Source organism: Homo sapiens, chromosome X (assembly GCF_000001405.40).
Source record: "Homo sapiens chromosome X, GRCh38.p14 Primary Assembly".
NCBI lineage: Eukaryota > Metazoa > Chordata > Mammalia > Primates > Hominidae > Homo > Homo sapiens.
Window position 1 is genome coordinate 131815364 of NC_000023.11, and position 20126 is coordinate 131835489.

Below are 20126 nucleotides of genomic sequence, written 5' to 3' on the forward strand. Positions count from 1 at the left end.
GGAATATCTTTACTGATGTGGACACTGAGAATGGAATTCAGTCTTTTCAAGGACTTAAGAGGACTACCTGGTATAGCTGAAACATGTGGAGTCAATCTACTAGAGAATAGGCCCTTTGCTCCTCCCCACTCTCTGACATTGCAGAGGAAAGCTGAATGAACCTACTCATCTCTGCACTCCTGTCTCCTATGGGAATGTGACCTTGACTCTGGACAAAGAGTGTGCTCATGTGAAAGGTTAAGTGATGCACACATATTGCCCACCAAATAGTTAAACCAATTGACAATGCTTCCCACCTCACGGGAACTTGTCCAATTCTACAAATGTTCACACAAACTAGGTGTTATCAGTGGTTTCATGTTCAGTAACTTACTTAGGGATATTTTGAAGAGGTGGGGAATGGTTGAGACTTTGTCATACTGTAATTTACTTGAGTATTGGTGAATTTGAGAACCTCTGCCAATGGACTTTGTTGTTCCATGGCCTTTTTCTTCTGCGAAGTTTGTGCCTGGTTCCTTTTCTCTTTCCTTGCTGAATTGTTTCTCTTTAACTTTTCATCTTGGAATAGCTAATGATCTGTAATGGATGTCAATGGTTGAAGGGCAGTAAATACTGACAAACAATTGCTTGTAGTTTCCTGTTTTTGCTGTTATTTTTATTATGCCTGAAACAATGAAATTGTTTCCATCGGCAATCAGGCCTGTTAGCCTCTATTAAGTATAGCCAGGTGAGGTGAGCACAACATTCTTGAGCCTGAGGAATTCCTGAGCTGAGGCCACTGCTAGTGCCATCCACAGTTCTGTCTCAACACATTTGTCTACCCTACTTCAAACATACGACCTAGTCAAAATGCAGCTCCAAGGCAGGCACGCTAACCCATCTAGTTCAGGCCTTCTCTTTCGGCTGTTTTAAGTGAGATCAGGAGATCAGCAATGACCTCTCACCTTCACAAGACATCTGGGATCATTAAGGGATGCTTTACCACATGTCTCCAAGACACTCCTGAGAGTTATTGACCCTTCTTGTCAGTTATCTATTGCCTCTCAGCTCTGAATGCATTCTTCAATATATGCTCTACAATAAATAGTGGGAATTTTCCCCCTGTACTCTGAGCTCCAACACTACTGCCAAATGGGGCTCATATCCCAGGCCCCAGTGTGCTAGAGGACTGTGTCCCAGACTGTCTGCCTCTACAACAAGGAGCAGGGGCAGGAGGCAAATGATCAGAAGCCCTGCACTTAGCAGTAAACTGCTTCCTCTAGTTCTTCCTGTACTGGGAGGACACAAAAGCCCCACCTCCAGGACTTCCTATGCATGAATTTCCTGCCTACTCCCCGGTCAGTTCTGGCCACTTCTACAACTATATCACACCTTTGTCCACAGATTCTAGAAGGTCTGAGAGATGAAGGCAAGGACATCACGCTTGAGGCCAGAAGCCGTCCCAACTTCCCCACAGGTGCAACCTTCCTTGACATCCTGGTTTTTTGGGAGGAATTGTTCATGGCTTGGATTTTCATCAACTGATTTCCTCACGATGGCAGTAGTGCTCCAGAAATGTCAACCAGCCCTGTCCCCAGGGCCTCTTCTCCCGCCCATCGAGTATGAAAAAACGCCAACAAAAGACAAAAGCACATGGAAACAAAACTGTTTCAATTCTTGCCCAGTTTGAGGAAACTTGTTCACACCACTGTGCTTTTGCTTTCTATTTCCATCTTAAATCAAAATGAGTCCTTAACCACCCCGCCCTGGTCAGGCTCTTCCGTTTTCCAGCATTAAATTTCCACCAGATCTTTGGCTTCACAGTTCAGCTCTTCTTCTCTCAACATTAGTTCTTCAGCATTTTCTCAATTTATTAAGTTGACTTCTTAAAGTTGAACAAGACTCAGGATTCCAGGATGAAATGGGAGAAGAAAACGCCGTAAGTTCCAGGCCTGGAAAAGGTCATCTCTAGTCACCTGGCATCATGGTCCTTGACGCAGCTTTCTAGGTTACCAGGGAATCTTCCTCCATTTTGTAGCAGACACTAATCTTTTTGTTTGGTGGAAGGCTGTTATTTGGCCGAATTCCTGAGATTATTTTCTTATAGCCTATATAGCTCTCATTGGTTTGACATGTCATATGTGACATACCAAATGTACCTTTATATTTATTTATTTATTTTCGAGACGGAGTCTTTCACTCTGTCTCCCAGGCTGCAGTGCAGTGGTGCAATCTCGGCTCACTGCAAACTCCACTTCCTGGGTCCAAGCGATTCTCATGCTTCAGCCTCCCAAGTAGCTGTGACTACAGGAACCCGCCACCACGCCTGACTAATTTTTGTGTTTTTAGTAGAGATGGGGTTTTACCATGTTGGCCAGGCTGGTCTTGAACTCCTGACCTCAAGTGATCCTCCCACCTCAGCCTCCCAAAGTGCTGGATTTACAGGCATGAACCACTGGGCCTAGCCTGTTCTTAGGAAACTCTTAATGAAGAAATGTATTAAACAAAAAGGTGAGTTCTTATCTAAAACCAGTTTTCAGATGTAACTTTTCTTTGCACTTTGGTGTATCTATTTTTTCATACACTTAAAAACATATAGTTATTCAGTACATCTGTCATGTGACCAATTTGTCTTTGTAATTATCAATACACTTCTTACAATGCTAAATGTGGAAGTCCAAACACACACACACACACACAAACACACACACACTCCTTTTTCACTTATGTCATTACACTGAATTCACAGGTTTGCATTTTACTATTTTATTTTCCTTAACAAAACAATAGTCAATATACGTTCTTTAAAGTTTGTAAACTGAATCTCCTACATTATTTTCTTAGAGGAAACCAGTTTTAATATTTCTCCATACTTGATTCTAGATGTTTTAGTCAGGGAGGGCTGCCATAAAAGCATCATAGATTTTTAAACAAACTATATGTATTTCTTACAGTTCTGGAGGCTGGGAAGCCCAAGATCATGGTGGCAGCCAATTCAGTTCCTGGCTAGGGTCCTCTTCCAGGTGTGCAGATGGACATCTTCCTGTTGCTCACAAGGCAAAGTGAGAAACCTCTGTCCCTTCATCTCCTTATAGGGGCACTAATCATAATGCAGGCTCCACCCTTATGACCTCATCTAAACCTAACTACTTCCCAAAAGTCTCATTTCCAAATACCATCGCACTGTGGGTTAAGACTTTCACATATGAATTTCGAGGTAACACAAACTTTCAGTCCTTACTAGGTTTTCTTTTTTTTTTTTCTTCCCTGTGTGTAAGCATTGTATTTATTATCTCTTGCTATGTAACAAATTACTTCAAACTTAATAGCTTAAAACGACATACATTTTTTTTATCTCAGTTTCTGTGAGTCAGGAGTCTGGGCATAGTTCAGGTAGGTACTCAGCTCAAGGCTGCGATCAAGGTGTCGGTTAGGGCTGGGGACTCATCTGAGGCTCAAGATCCTCTGGGAAGCTCATGTGGTTGTTGGCAGAATTCATTTTGTTGCAGCTATAGAACTCATAATTGCTTACTTCTTTGAGGCTAGCAAAAGAGAAGATCTCAGACCACCAGGCCCTCTTTTCCTGTCCTGATTAGATCAGGCCCCCCCAGGGTAATCTCCCTTTTGAGACCCTATCATTTTTGCCATATAATATAAAGGAATCAGAGAAGTGATAATCTATCATATTCACAGGTCCCACTCATACTTAAGGAATTATACAGGGAGATGGAATCATCTTAGTATTCTGCCTATATACCACAAGGATGGATGGATGGATAGAGAGATAGATAGATACAGTTTTTAAAGATTTTAAGTCAAAATTATACATGAACACATTTTTCAACATCAGTTATTTGTACAATACTTTACAAACAACATTATGCCATCTCTGACATTCCTCCGATATTGAAACACTTTTTTTTTTTTTTAAGACGGAGTCTCACTCTATCACCCAGGCTGGAGTGCAGTGGTGCTATCTCGGCTCACTGCAAGCTCCGCCTCCCGGATTCACGCCATTCTTCTGCCTCAGCCTCCTGAGTAGCTGGGACTACAGGCACCCACCACCACACCTGGCTAATTTTTTGTATTTTTAGTACAGACGGGGTTTCACCGTGTTAGACAGGATGGTTTCGATCTTCTGACCTCGTGATCTGCCTGCCTCGGCCTCCTAAAGTGCTGGGATTACAGGCGTGAGCCACCGCGCCCGGCTGATTGAAACACTTTTAACACTCTTAGCGAATAAGTTTTTACTAGCTTATGTATCCCTAAATAGAATGCCCATATTACCAATTTATAAACTAACCCATACATTCATAATATATACTCTTCCTTCTAGAAGAATATTTCACTTTCTTTGCCCTCACTACACTTCACTAATATCAATATTACTACTTCACTTAACATCCATCCTTTCTTCCCATCCTCCCAATGTAGCTATAATTGCTTGTGTCAATGTTTAATGCATACAATACTATGACAATGTAAATATCTTGAGATGATCCATGTACTAAATTGTGTTTGCTTTTCTTTTTCTGGACATCTTTCCTCTAGTCTCTGTCCCCTAGAATAATTTACTAGTCATTTCATTTGATGGTCTGTGTACTCATAGTTCATTCAAACACACACATATTCAAGTTGACTAAAATATCTCTCAGGAGTCTCATTCATATTACGGATCTTGATCAATTTAATTTTCCTCGCAAAATTTATCTCAAAATTTTCTGACCTCCTCCAATGTGTCCAGTTTCCCCTATGCCTGGTGCCCCAGCACTTTGGGAGGCCAAGGCGGGTGGATCACTTGAGGCCAGGAGTTCAAACCAGCTTGGCCAACATGGTGAAACCCTGTCTCTCCTAAAAATACAAAAATTAGCTGGGTGTGGTGGCACGCGCCTGTAGTCCCAGCTACTCTGGAGGCTGAGGCAGCAGAATCGCTTGAACCCCTGGGAGGTGGAGGTTGCAGTGAGCCGAGATTGCACCACTGCACTCCAGCCTGGCGACAGAGCGAGACTCCATCTCAAAAAATAAAATAAAATAAAATAAAATAAGCCAGGCATGGTGGCACATGTCTGTAATCCCAGCTACTTGGGAAGCTGAGGTGGGAGGATTGCTTGAACCTGGGAGGCAGACGTTGCAGTGGGCCAAGATCACACCACTGCACTCCAGCCTGGGCGAGAGAGCAAGACTCTGTCTCAAAAAAAAAAAAAGACTCTTACTATTGATGATACTTAATAATCTGGAATTGTATTTTTAAATATATTAAAACAATAGATGTTTCTTATCTTTTATAAAGCATCCTTTCATGTGAAAAATGTTTTTTAAAAAAGAGGCATGAGCACCCATTCATAAACAGTATGTGGTAGTACAGTAACTACTATTTGCACTTTGGTGTTTATCATCTCAGATCTCTCAATATGTAGAGGAAATCATACATTCCTTTAACCAATATTTATCTAGTTGCTGCCAAGTTCCGGGCACTGTTCTAAGCCTTGGGGATAAAAGAATACTAAATAGGATATTTAATTGAATAGAATCATTTAACTGAATAGAATTATTTAATATTTAACTTAATATAATTCAGTTATATTTATTTACTATAATATCAGTTATAATATTTAACTGAAATAATTAATATGTAATTGAATATAATATTTAAGTGAATAGAATTATTTTAATTGTGCACACACACACATTTACACATACATGTCTTTATATATATCTCTATATTTGTAAAATTGTATATAACTTAATGTGCATGCATATATACATAGTACATATAAATATATATATATAACAGGTATGTGTGCATAGATATAGGAATATGTGCAAATATTGGTGCATATATTTATAAACTAACACAGTATATACATAAACACAATGTGTGTAGGTAATTGGAACGTCGTAAACACTAGTAAAATTGAGTATCTTTTCATTTATTTAATAAACAGCTGGAGTTCTTCTTTTGTAAATTGCCTGTTTAATTCCTTTACCAATTTTGCCGTTGGTTTAAATACGACAGAAACAGAAAGTTTTAAATTTTTTAGTCACAGGACGCTTACGCGCAAACACACATACAAAAAATCATCTTCAACTACTCTATGAGGTCAAATGCTAACTGAGTGAGGAAAGTAGAAGAGGGCGCCAGAATGTTTCTCCATTATGCAATGAATCCCAAGTAATTCTAGACATTCTCCACCAACTTGGGAACAAGAAGTATGGGTTGTCAGGCTTACCAGGTATCCTCATCTGGAGCTTTTTATGAAGAAGTAACAGAGAAGAACAATTGTTATGTATGAGGAGAATCACTAGACTTCAAGGAGTTCAGCATCCTCTGGGAGAACAAATAAAGAGATGAGCACTCCTTCCTTCTTCCCCACCAACCCCACCAAGAGACCTGAGATGACGGCAAAACTCTATTAGGGGACAGGCCTTGGCTATAGGTGTAACATTTTTTGGCCTCTTAGTGTATGCCTCTGCTCTCTAAGCAGGAGATTTGGCCTTTTTTGGCTCGGCGGGATGGCTCCCAATGCTTCTTCATTTCCCTCCTTGCTCTAAGGCAATGGGGTCCAGACTTTTGCTGTGTATGAGATCCCCCAGCAAGCACAAATGCTGTTATAAGTTATCTCCTCAAATTAGCCTATTTTATGAGCTGTGATGCTGCTATCACAAGGAGCTCAGGTTCTATGGCTCCAGAACAAGGTGAATTGGCCTGAACCATCTTCTGAGGGACAGGGGCAGGAACAGGAGACAATGGGCACAAGCCCTGCACTGGGCCCTGAAAGTTTTCCTCAACGGAAGCCCCACCCGACAACTTCCTGTGCCCGGACTTCTGGCAGCTGTTGGCTCTGTCCGGCCTCGCCAACAACAGGTTTTTACACTTGGATATCACCTTTGTCATATTAGCATCAAGTCTTTGCCCAGAGCTCCCGGAATAATTCAGAGAAGTCAGGGAAGCCCAATTTCGGGTCAGGGCCTGTTCAATCTCTCCGCTGAACGGGCGTTTCTAAACCGAAAGACCTCACGGGACGGACGCTGTAATGGCGTAGGGTATTTTAAAACTATTTCCTCACGATGGCAGTCGTGCTCCAGATATGCCAACAAGTACCGCTCCCTAGTCCTTCTCCCGCCCTTTCTGTCCAAAAAAACACCAGCAAGAAAAAGGCGCCAGGAAACATGGCAGCCTTACTTTTGCCCAGTTTGGGACAATCTTATCACGCTGCTGCACTGTTGCTTTTGGTTTCCATTTGAAACGAAACTGAGGCCTTCTCTTTTTAAGAACTGCATTTCCAATAGGTTTAGCTTTCACAGTTGTGTTCTCGCTCACTCAGCATACATCTCCAGTATTTTCCCAAGTTATCACGTTGTCTGCTTCTGGATTCAAGACTCAAGAATCCAGGCCTAAGCAGAAAAAGAAAATGCTACAAACTCAAGGCCGGGAGGTTATCTCTAAGTACCAAACCACATGTCCTTGCCTGGCTCATCCATCTGTAAGGCTCCCAAGGAATTCTATATTTTCAGGATAGAGATCTAAGTCTTATGTGTTGACTTGTTGGCAGCCATTTGGCTGGAGTCTTAAGAGAAGCGCCCAAGTAGCTCCCATTCCAAGAGTTTTGTCTTGTGATTTCATTTACCATTTGAAGACACTTTCCGATGCCATTAAGTGGTCTCCAATTGCTTCCTACCACTTTATTGGATATGTAGGGACATGTGTGTGTGTGTGTGTGTGTGTGTGTGTGTATTTATCTTTATATCTGTATTTACCATTTATCTCTTAGAGATAAGCCTTAAAACCACTTCCTCATTAGTAATTAAGACATGATGTTTGCCAAGGATTCAGAAATAACCATGCACTGATAAAGAGTAAAGCGCTGTCATAAAATTGATTAAGACCACTGATAACTTTTTGGATCATGTCCTCTTACTCCTTTCAATACACACAGAGTTTTATATTTATGTTCATATGTGACAATGAATTTATATTAAAATTGGTTGTTTGTACATGATGGTTTGCCTAGGAGATTGCCACTCCTGATTCTCAGACAGTTTGGCCACATTACATAAAATTTTTGTCTTCATGTTTAGTAATCAAAACACTGCAAAAAAATGTTTCTTGGCTGGGCGCAGTGGCTCACGCCTGTAATCCTAGCACTTTGGGAGGCCGAGGCGGGCTGATTACCTGAGGTCGGGAGTTCAAGACCAGCCTGGCCAACATGGTGAAATCCCGTCTCTACTAAAAATACAAAAAATTAGCCCGGTGCAGTGGCGCGCGCCTGTAATCCCAGCTACTCTGGAGGCTGAGGCAGAAGAACCACTTGAACCCAGGAGGCCGGAAGTTGCCGTGAGCTGAGATCACGCCACTGCACTCCAGCCTGGGCTACAGAACGAGACTTCGTCTCAAAAAACAAACAAACAAACAAACAAAAATGTTTCTTATTGCTCCATTTATTATAGTTTAAATATGGCATATATAATATATAATATTGCTATACATATATGTGCACATTTATTTCACCTTAATTATAACTTGACTTATACTGGGCATAGTTTTATACAAAGTCTTCTGCACCAACTTACATAAATTGCATGTTTCCATATATCAACATCTATTTTCCCTAGCTGGAAATTTCTTTATACTTGATTGTACAAGGAGGTTTCTCTTCGAAGGAATTATAAAGGTAACATCTGCTGTTGGAAATCTGCTCATATTTTAAGAAATTACAAAGCCAAAAATAAATGGTATCTCAATGAAAACTAGAAGAAATAACTTTTAAAATGTCTTTGCCATACATTCTCTTATCTTCCCTATCCATATATAATGTACATTTTTTAACCTAAAATCCCAGTTACCTTGTATGTCAGACATGCTTTTCTCAGGACAGTTTGAGGTCTTTGGAAACATCATTAACTACTCCTTGGAATATGCAATATTTTTAAGGTTGCTTCTCATATTTTTGCATTTCCTAAAATTAAGCATACCTGTTTACAAAATAACCAGACACATTAGCCTTGTACAAAGAAGTGCAGTGAGGCCACAAGTAATGCCCACTGAAGCAGATAAGGATTTTTAAAATGTGGGTGTCTTGAATACACCTGTTTTCTGTGATCAGTTAAATATATAAATATATTAGGTCTCAAATAGCCAACAAATCAAGTTTTCACCAACAATTTCTTCTGCACATATTTGTTCTGGGTTGACTCTCAAATTACAAATATCTTATCAGCTTCTTGAAAAATCTCTTAGAATACACAATCTATGAAGAACAAATGGAAACACTTTATCACAAATCCCACTTTTTTGAGGCATCCACTATTAGCAGCTTGATGAGTATATTGGTTTAAACATTAAAAAAATGATATATAACTGTTCAATAAGAACTGATGTTATTCAGTGAAATAAATTTAATCTATATCTCATTAATATACTCCCCACATTCCTCAGCACAATGCTAGGCGCGCGCGCGCGCGCACACACACACACACACACACACACACACACACACACACACACTTCCATTTCTTTTCTTCAAATCCATCCTCATTGGTCCCACTACACATAGAATTTGGTGCCCTGAATTCTCAATTCAACACTAGAAAATGAGTACTCTCCAATATCATTAACTTTTCTTGAGGAACAAGATAGTTTTTTATGGTTAAATCTCATAGCATTCTTTTACTGTTGATCAAACCGTAAGAATTATATGCATCTGGAAAAAAATCAGTAAGTGGAACAAATATATAGCAGTAAAGAAATGATACTCTTAAGAAGTTTAATAGATATTCCATTGATGTTTGTTATATTGCATTCTGCTCTTTTTATTATATAATTGTACATGTGTGGGCACATGTGGACAGGTTGTCAGGATTTGGTGACTTTTTACTTACATGATATATGAGGAATATCCTTGCATGATACATGAGGAATATCCTTGCAACTTGAGTTGCTTCTTTCTATCATAGTTTTCTCAGGTCTCACATCACATAAGTCTCATCATATGTCGTGAAATATGCTTCAGAAAGCTGGATTTTCTGTTAAGTAAAATTTGGAAATAGAATTTCAGAATAGAGCCTTTAAATCTTGCATGTGTGTAGAAGTGTGTATGTTTTAAAGAAAAATACATCTTGTAATATGTTGTTTTCCTAATTATATATTGAGATGATGCTGGTTTCTTGATTTTTAAAAAACTTGCAAATGTAAGCTTTTCTCATTTTCAACATTTCAAGGCTTTGGACAAGTGTAAGTTAAAACGTGAAGGCAAGTCATTAGAAACATCACTGTAGAAAATTACACACTGTTAGTTGCTTGACTGGGGAACTTTCCAGATAACTTCCTTTCTGCCTATTTGCTTTTCTGAACCAATAGGTTTATGTGTTCAACTTGAATTAATAACATATGTAATTAAGAGAGAAAGAAAGACTTCATCTTTCATTTCTATTTCCTTGCTATTAGCCAACCAGAATGGTTTGATTCCCGTTACAACATTTCACATTTTCTTCCCTAAATCAGAGGTGTGGTCATCTCCCCTATTGAGGACTTGGCGAATGGATTTCAATCTTTCCAAAGGCTTAAAAAGACTACCTACTATAGCTGAACTTACTGTAGTTGAACTTGGACAATGGATGTTTTGCCCCCTCCCCACCGCCATCCTTGCAAAAGAAATCTCAGCGATCCTCTTTGTCCTCTCCTTTCTACTTTCCTGTGGGAGTTTGGCTGTGCGATCACTTTCAAGAGGTAGTCTCTGGACAAAGGGTATGCTCATGTGAAAGGTTAAATGATTTGGCCTGTTGACCTTCAAAGAGGTGTACCAATTAACAGTGCTTCTCACCTGGTAGGACCTTGTCCAATTCTACAAATCATTACACAAACACTGACATCAATGGATTCCTTTTCAAAGGCTTGCTCGGGGTTATGATGAAGATTTAAGGGCATTATGGAAGAATACAGTGAACTGCAATTTACTTCAGTACTGGTGAATTTGAGACTGTGATAATAGAGGTGCCTTATTCCTTTGCCATCTTTCCTGCTGAGTGGTTTTCTTTTTAACTACATTTTGAAACAGCTTTTGATCTGAGCTGACTGTCAATGATTGAGTGGTATTGAGAGTTGGCAATAGTTATAATCTCCCATTCCTGGTCACGGTGTCACGTTTGAATTCCTGGGACTCAGCAAGTTGCTGCTGCTTTAGGCCTCTATCCACTCTCTGACCAGATAGTCTCTTAATGTAAACCAAAATGTGTGGGAATACAAAATTCCTGACCCTGAGGAATTCTAGGGCTGGGGCTACCTCTCTGTCACTCACAATTCTAAGTTAAGTTATGGTGCACTGTCTCCACACATCTGGCTTTCCTAGTCTAGCATATGGTCAAGTCAAACTGTGACTCAACAGCAGGCAGCCTAACCCATCTGATGCAGGGTTTCTCTCAGTCACCTGCTTAGCTGAAGTAGGCTGAAAAGGTCAGAGGTCACCTTACACTTTCATAAGGTATTTGAGACCATTGAGACATGCTTTCTCAAATGTTTTCAAACCCTTCTTGGCTCATGTCAACCTATAACATCCTCAAGGACAGCTAGACCAAGGCATGAATAGCAGGAAAGTCAATTTCCCCAGGGACCCTATGGTCTTTGTAGTAGTTGCTAAAAACTTCCTAGTAGATGTTATAGCTCCACCCTGGGCAAGTAGAATTCAGGTGGTGACCATATGTTACAGCAGTGCATGAGAATAACATTCCTTTCTCTTCTGTAAGTGGTCAGCCACTGAATCCATCACTGATACACGAGAAAACTCTCACATGCAGTCAATCTTACAAAATTTTTGCCTTTTCTTGCTATGCTATGGGCAAGTGTCCTGAGGGTCCTGATGTGCTCAGCTTTTAGAGGGCTTACAAGGAATCTTCATTAGAAAAAGGCTAAGAAGCAGGCACAGAGAACAATACTTGCTAATCTGAATGAACAGTTAGGTCCCAAGTCTCAATGGCCTCATCTTCCTTAGGGGAAGGCCAATAGCTAAAGAACTCATTTCTGTTCCTTTAATAGAGCTAAGAGTAGGTTTCTCTAAATAGGTAGGCCTTCACACTGGGCCCTAGAAAAAGTGCTGCAAAGCCATGGTAGCTGTTACCTCCTGGCTTCAGAAAATACTTCCAGGTCTTCTGGTTGTGTATATCTGCACTCCTATTGATGTTCAAGGATTTATTGGCTTGGCCAAGTGACACACACTGCCTTCTCCTCAGGTCTTCCTTGCTCTAGGCAATGGGGGCACCAGACTTTTAGGTATCCTTGAGACCCCCAGAAAGCACGCTGGCTGCTGTTAGATATCATCTGGAATGAGATGTTTCATCTGCACCCTAACATTGCTTACACCTTGTGCCAACCCCCTACCTCATTGTTCAAAGGGCATGGCCAGAGGATATGTGGCCAGAAGTCCCCCCAAATAGGATCTGAGCCATTTGTTTTAGCCCCACCCTCACTGGGTAGATATCTAAGCCCCAATACTTCCTATACTCCACCTGCCTAGTAGCTGTCCCTTCAGTCCTCCCCCTGACCCCCCACTTATCAGCTTCTCCCCCAGGATCCTGCCTTTGTCCAGAGCTCCTGGAAGGCTTCAGATTTAAAGTGAAGGGGACCTACTTAGGGCTAGGGTCCACTCAACCTCACAAAAGGCCCAACATTTCTCAGTTGCTAAAACTTGGGGGGGCTCTAACAACTTTGGGTTTGTGTTTTGTCAAACTACATCCTCTTGATGGCAGTATTGCTCTGGAAAAGCTGATTAGCCTTGCCTGGGCACCCCACCCCCAGAGCCCTTCTCCTCTCACCCATTCAATCTGAAAAAAGCTACCAAGACAAAGGAGACAGGAAACAAAGCTGCCTTGCTATTGGCCCTGTTTGGGGAAAATCTGCTCTTTCGAATTTACTTTTGCTCCTGGTTTCCCTCTGAACTCAGACTGAAGCCTATACCACCCAGTTTCATCAGCCATACTTTGTTTAAAGAATCCCATTTCCGATAGCATTAGGAGATATACCTAATGCTAAATGACGAGTTAATGGGTGCAGCACACCAGCATGGCACATGTATACATATGTAACTAACCTGCTCATTGTGCACATGTACCCTAAAACTTAAAGTATAATAATAATAAAATTTAAAAAAACAAAAAAATGCCCATTTCCACTCTACCATAGCTTTGTAGGTCTGCTCTTCTTCATTCAACCTTGATCCCCAACAATTTCCCAAGTTATCTGCTTCAGTGGGAAATTCTTAGGGACCTAGGGCTAAGAAAGTGAAGAAAATAATGGAAATAACAGCCTAGAGAAGAACAAATCTAGGCACCAGGCCATGTGACTTGTTTCACTGCCAGGTTCCCTGGGAGTCCTCCATTTTCTGACCTGGGCACTAGGTCTTGTGTATTGAGTTGGGGGCAGCCATGTCAGAACCCTAATAGGAGGGTCCAGATAGATCTCAAGGCTGAATTCCATACAATATCCCTCTTGGGGTGACACACACACTCCAAACTTACAAAATTCCAGTAGAAAGGAACATGATTTTGTCTTATGGTTCCATCATTCAACATTAAAACACAAGCAAGTTCCCATGCACATCATTATTTGACTTTTAATGGCTTCCTATGGCTTTATTATATATGTGTGTGCCACTGCTTAAGCTTAGGAATCAGTCTTATGGTGTTTCCTCATAAGTAATTAAGACATGGTGCTTGTAAAGAATTTAGAAAATAACCATGTGCTGATCAAGAACAAAAGCACTGTCATAAAATCTTGTATTAAACACTAATAGCCTTTTGCATATTTACTCCCATTATTTCAACATGCACAGAGGTCTATATTTACGGTAATACACTACAATAAGCATATTTAAATTAAATTTATATATGCATCATGTTTTAGATGCAAACTTTTCACTGCTCATTCCTGGGTAACTGAAATTGTCATGAAATATTTGCAAGACCTGGATTTTAGATAATAAAATATTTGCAATGAGCTTCTTGATTGACTAATTCATTAAAGAATGTTAGGTTCTCAATTTTTAAAAAATTTATACACAGGACATAATACCTATAATGCCACCACTCAAGTATCTTAATTTTGATACCTGCCTTACCTAATCATTAGTATGCTGACTATATATATATATATATATACATGCTAACATTGGAACAGGCACTATGTGCTTATGCCTCAGAACATTAGGGTTTCTTTTGTTTATATTTTTCAAAACTTATACCAAAATTTTATCTTAAAATTTTATGTAAAATCTATAAAGTTGAAACGCATACTCACTCTAACACTGACCATGATTATGCATGATATGCATAATGCATATATATGTATAAGCATTAGATAGATAGGTCCAAGTTACCTGGTTACAGGCCTAGAGGGAAAAGAAAATGATTGCACCTATTATATATATATTTACTTCTCTTTATTTATTTATTTTTATTCAGCCTCTGGGAGCATGGACTATCCTTTTCTTTAAAGACAATTGAATGCAAACTGGATACAGTTTTGCACAAATTCTTCAACACCACCTTATACCATTTGCATACATGAATGACAATGTATATTTGAGTGCTTGGATTTTTTTTGTATCTTACTCTAGAAGACCTTTCTATTTCAAGAAATTACAAAAGTTACACCCACTGTTGGCACCGTTTAGATTTTAAGAAATTATAAGTAGAAAGTAAACGGTACTTCAATCACAACAAGAAATAGCCACTTAAAAATATCCTTGCCATACATTCTTATATCTTCACTTTGCACAAATAATATACACTTAAAAAATGTTCAAATTCTCTTGTACTTTGAATGCTAAAACAAGTTTTCCTCATTTGTAACTTGAATGCTCTTCAAATCTCATTAAGTATTCTTTAGAATAATGACAGGTTTTAAAATCTTGCCACATGTTTTTGCATTTCTAGAAATAATCATGCTTCTTTACAATGTACCTGCTATAACAGCCATGTATGGAGAAGTGAAGCGAGGTCACAGGTAATGCCACCTCCAGCAGACAAGAACTTTTAAAATGTGGGTTCATCTTCAATCCTCTTCACTCGGTTTTGGTTCTCATCTGTTTGTGCGTGGTCAGCTCTCCTAGCAAAAGTGCTAACCCTTCTTGGTTTGGCGGGCTGATCCCATTTCTCTTCAAGGTCCTCCTAGCTGCAAGCAATTTGGTTGCACCTGGGACCTCCAGCAAGCACATGGCATCCTTTTATAAGCAACCTGGTATTGTCTGGTTCTCTGCAGTGACTCTGCTACCACAAAGGTCCTAGGCCCCAGAGCCTGAAGGCACCACGTGTCAGCCTTTCCCAGACTCTCAGGGGCGGGGAGAGAGACGAATACCCACAGGCCCAGTACTTCGTTGGTTGGTGGCTTCCTCCAGTCCCGCCCATACTGGGAGAATACCAAGACCCCACCCTACAACTTCCTGGGCCTGGACTTCCTGCCAGAGGCCGACTTAGTCTTCCCTCCCCACGGGCCAGTTCCTACACCTGGACCTCACTCTGTCCAGAGCTTCAGGTAGGCCTCAGGAGGTGGAACTAAGATCCAGCTCATGGTCCGAGCCTGCTCAGCCTCTAACAGAATGGAACTTTCCAATATAAGCCCTCTAAGGGATGGGGCTTTTTCCAGAAATTTCCTCACGATGGCAGTGTTGCTCCTGGAATTCTATCCAATACTGCCCCCAAGCCCTCTTCTCCCGCCCGTCTGGTATGAAAAAAAAATGTGACCAACAGATTAAGGCACCAGGAAATATGGCTGACTTGAGAAACTCGCTCATACTATTGTGATTTTGCTTTTGGTTTTTCATCTGAAATCAAACTGGCGCCTAAACCTACACTCTCATCAGGGGTCTTTTCAGTTCAAGAACTCAATTTCCACTTACCTAGTCTTCACAGTTCTGCTTTTTCTTCACCTAACTTTTTCTCATGGTACTAAATTGTCTTGGTGTATCAGGGGTCAAACCTCAGGGATCCAGGCCTAGAGGGAAAAGCAAATGGTTGCATCTAAGGGCTTGGAGAAGAGCAAATCCATGTTGTTCTTGCCTGACTCACTTCCCAGGTTTCCCGGGAGTCCTACTCAATTTCTGGCCTAGGCACTAGGCCTGTGTGTTGAGGGAGAAGCAGTTGTCTGGAACCCTAAGCTAAGTGTCTAGATGGTTCTCAAGACTGCGTGCTATACAGTGCCCATTTGGAAGGGTACACAAACTCAAATATGTATAAATTCCAGTCAGAGGAGACTGATACAGTCTCATAGTCAAAATAATTTAAAATCGGAACACAGGCATGTTCCTATGTTCTTATATGACTGTCAATGGTTTCCTGTGACTTTAGTGTGTATATGCTTATCACTTAGGGGTCAATCTTATGGTATTTTATCTTACGTAATTAAGACATGGTGCTTGCAAAGGATTTGCAAAGGATTCAGAAAAGAACCATGTGCTGACCAAGAGTAAAGCACTGTCATAAACAGTACCTATTAGTAATACTGATAAACATCTGGATTATGTTTTGTGAACTAAAAAGTGTCTGAGACAGGTCTCAATAGTTTCAGAAATTTATTTTGCAAGTTTAAGTACACGCATGCCTGGGAGATAGGTCCATGCCTTTCTTCAAAGATGATTTTGAGGGCTTCAATATTTAAAGGGGAAAGGGCAGATACTGGGGAAAGGGGAAGAAATTTTGAAAAGATGTGGGTAGATAAGAGGCAAAGGGTAGCATTCTTTTGAGTCTTTGATCAGCCCTTCATAGGCGAGATGAGGGTAGAGGAATAGTCACGTACACATTCATCTAGCTCAGTGAATCTGCATTTTTTACATAGGATAAAATAAACACAGGGCAGAGGAAGCAATCAGACATGCATTTGTCTCAAGTGAGCGGAGGGAAGACTTTGAGTTCTGTCTTTTGTTCCATACCTGTGAGGATAAGCCAAAATTTACATTGTCAGGGTGAAATTCAACAGAACTGTTTCAGGGTAAAAATCTTGGGGCTCACAAGGAATTTCCTAGTGGGCAAATTGTGAGGGAGATATGTAGCTTTTTGTTTTTGCTTTGTTCAATCATTGTAGCCATCTTATTTAGGAATAAAATGGGAGGCAGGTTTGCCTGACGCAGTTCCCAGCTTGACGTTTCCCTTTGGCTTAGTGATTTTGGGGCCCTGAGATTTATTTTCCTTTCACAGTTTCAACATACACATGCAAACTCATATACTCATGCACTCATTTCAATATATACACATAAACATTTATATTTCGTGTCATACACAATAGTAAGTTTACATTAAAATGAGGTTTATTTGTATGTTATGGTTTGGAGTATACTTTCACTTCTGTTTCCTGGGCAGTTTGTCATTATCATGAAAAATTTGCAAGACCTGAATTTTTAGTAAATGAAACATTAACCAAGAGCTTCTTGATTGCTACATTCAATAACAATATGGTCTCTGAAGACATGTTCACTTCATAAAACACTTATTTAACAACTGGAAATTTAATTCCTATGATGTCTCCTCTCAGGTATCATGATTTGAAGAGCTTCTAATCTTTATTATGCTAACATGTGTATACTCTAAAACAAATATTGAATCACAAGTATAACATGCGTGCATCAGAAAATATAGGATATTCCTTCCTTCTCAAAATTTTAACCTACAATTAAATCTAAAATTTCATCTTATTTTATTTATTTATTATTATATTTTTAGAGACTGGGTCTGGCAAGTCTATGCAATCATGGCTCACTGTAGCCTTGACCTCCAGGCTCAAGCAATCCTCCCACCTCAGCCTCTGGAGTAGCTAGGACCACAGGCACACACCACCACACCCAGCTATTTTTTTCTTTTTTATATTTTTTTGTAGAGAAGGGGTCTCCTTATGTTACCCAGACTGATCTCTAACTTGTAGGCTCAAGCGATCTTCCCAATTCAGCCTCCCAAAGTGCTGGGATTATAGGCATGAGCCACTGCACCTGGCCTAATCTTATTTTATTACTAAAAAAAATTAACAACAGATTGCATTACTGTATAAATAAAGTCTGTGTCCTCATCTCTTTAGCACTGTGACTGTGACCCAAACACGTACTCCATCAAAGGTTCAAGGTGAATGCATTGACATATTTTTATATTCATCTATAATCTTTTCTTAATGTTTCCCTTTAAATTTATTTATTTCCTAAAAATTAGGTCTTGCAAATTTTTCGTAATGACAAATTGCCAAGGAAATAGAAGTGAAAATATTATCCAAATCATGATATATGAATAAATCCCATATGAATGTAAACTTATTATTATATATGAAGCTAAATATCAAAGTTTCTATGTGTATACATATACACATGTACACATATACATACATATACAAACACACATTAATATACGGACAAAGAGAGTGAAATTTAAGTGCATTGTTACTATAATAATCATAATTAAAAATATACACTTTTTAGGGAGGCTGAGGCAGGAGAATCGTTTGAACCTGGGAGGCAGAGGTTGCAGTGAGCCAAGATCACACCACTGCACGCTAGCCCTGGAGACAGAGTGAGACTCCGTCTCAAAAAATATATATACTTTTTAAACATAAGTACACATATAGATGGATATGGAGTCATGCCTAATTTAATGACAGGGATACATTCTGAGAAGTGCATTGTTAGTTGATTTCATCATTGTGCAAACATCATAGTGTACTTACACAAATCTAGATAGTATAGCCTACTACACTCCTAGGTTGCAGAATATAGCCCATTGCTCCTAGGCTACAAAGTGGTATAGCATGTTGTTATACTGAATACTGTAGGCAATAGTAACAATGGTAAGTATTTGTGTATCTAAACATAGAAAAGGTACAATAAAAATACGATATTATAATATTATGTATGACATAACCATCATATATGCAGTCAGTCATTGACCTAAAGATCATTATACAGGGCATGACTGTATACTAATGTGTAGTTTATCTATCTTTAAACATAATTGAATGAATACCGAAGGTAGTTTTGAACAGAAACATCATCATTATCTCATACAATTTCCATGTTCCCATATACATATATGTACTTGGAGAACTTGAAATCTTTTTATTCTACCCTGGAAAGAGCCTTATTATCCAGAAAATTTAAAAAGCAATAGTTGCTGTTGGCAAACTGTTCAGATATTGAGAAATCATGAAGCCAAAAATAAATGATAGTTCAATCCCAACAAGAATAAAGACTTTTAAAATGTCATTCACCCAGACTGGGCAACATGGTGAAACCTGTCTCTACAAAAAAATACAAAAATTATCCTGGCAAGGTGGAGTGTGTCTGTAGTCCCAGCTACTTGGGAAACTGAGGTGCGAAGATCACCTGAGCCCAGGGAGGTGGAGACTTCACTGAGCCAAGATCGTGCCATAGCACTCCAGCCAGGGTGACAGAGCGGGACTCTGTCTCCAAAATAAATAAAAGAGGCCGGGCATGGTGGCTCACGCCTGTAATCCCAGCAATTTGGAAGGCCGAGGCGGGCGGATCATGAGGTCAGGAGTTGAAGACCAGCCTCACCAACATGGTGAAACCCTGTCTCTACTAAAAATTCAAAAATTAGCTGGACGTGGTGGCACATGCCTGTAATCCCAGCTACTCAGAAGGCTGAGGCAGGAGAATCGCTTGAACCCGGGAGGCAGAGGTTGCAGTGCGCCAAGATCGCGCCATTGCACTCCAGCCTGGGTGACAGAGCAAGACTCTGTCTCAAAAATAAATAATAAATAAATAAATAAATAAACAAAATGTCATTCTCATCTCTTATGTACATATAATAACATTAAAAATCATATTCAAATTCCTTTGTACCTTCAGTGTTCAGATACATTTTCTGTACATATTGTAGCTAGAGTACTTTCCAAACTTCATTAAATATTCTTTGAAATACTGATTATATTTTAGAGAGTAGCCTCTTACTTTTGGGATTTCACAAATCAGATGTATTTCTAAATAATGTGTTCAGGTACAACATCCATTTTTAAAGAAGCATAGCAAAATCATAGGTAATGCCACCTCAAGAGGACAAGGACCTGCAAAATATGGTTGTATTTTCAACCATATTTCACAGATATATGTTGTATACATTCAGAGATATAGATTCCTTAGGACTCTCTCATGTGTTCAACACAGCAAGTT

At 39.7% G+C, this 20126-nt stretch overlaps 1 long non-coding RNA gene across 2 annotated transcripts in view, besides 5 other annotated features; it reads right to left on the reverse strand.

The window, feature by feature from the left end:
• Positions 1-15280, reverse strand: part of FIRRE (firre intergenic repeating RNA element) — a 139119-nt gene extending 123839 nt beyond the window's left edge. For both annotated transcript variants that reach the window (NR_152876.1, NR_026975.2), the window contains exons 1-2: positions 14929-15280; positions 9859-10002 (exon numbers count right to left, since the gene is read on the reverse strand). This is a non-coding gene — a long non-coding RNA (firre intergenic repeating RNA element). The remainder of the gene's footprint in view (positions 1-9858; positions 10003-14928) is intronic.
• Positions 1478-1772: an enhancer, noted in NCBI's record as "tiled region #13107; HepG2 Activating non-DNase unmatched - State 24:Quies, and K562 Activating DNase matched - State 9:DNaseU". NCBI's record gives its function as "activates a minimal TATA promoter and a strong SV40 promoter by Sharpr-MPRA in HepG2 and K562 cells {active_cell/tissue: HepG2 | K562}" and the evidence as "EXISTENCE:reporter gene assay evidence [ECO:0000049][PMID:27701403]".
• Positions 2212-2271: a silencer, noted in NCBI's record as "silent region_21002". NCBI's record gives its function as "represses an Ori minimal core promoter by ATAC-STARR-seq in GM12878 lymphoblastoid cells {active_cell/tissue: GM12878}" and the evidence as "EXISTENCE:reporter gene assay evidence [ECO:0000049][PMID:35858748]".
• Positions 6506-6595: an enhancer, noted in NCBI's record as "active region_29966". NCBI's record gives its function as "activates an Ori minimal core promoter by ATAC-STARR-seq in GM12878 lymphoblastoid cells {active_cell/tissue: GM12878}" and the evidence as "EXISTENCE:reporter gene assay evidence [ECO:0000049][PMID:35858748]".
• Positions 6756-6995: an enhancer, noted in NCBI's record as "active region_29967". NCBI's record gives its function as "activates an Ori minimal core promoter by ATAC-STARR-seq in GM12878 lymphoblastoid cells {active_cell/tissue: GM12878}" and the evidence as "EXISTENCE:reporter gene assay evidence [ECO:0000049][PMID:35858748]".
• Positions 10699-11199: an enhancer, noted in NCBI's record as "H3K4me1 hESC enhancer chrX:130960090-130960590 (GRCh37/hg19 assembly coordinates)". NCBI's record gives its function as "activates a minimal SCP1, AML or CMV promoter by ChIP-STARR-seq in naive H9 embryonic stem cells {active_cell/tissue: H9 hESC(naive)}" and the evidence as "EXISTENCE:reporter gene assay evidence [ECO:0000049][PMID:30033119]".
• Positions 15281-20126: the final 4846 nt, after the last annotated feature.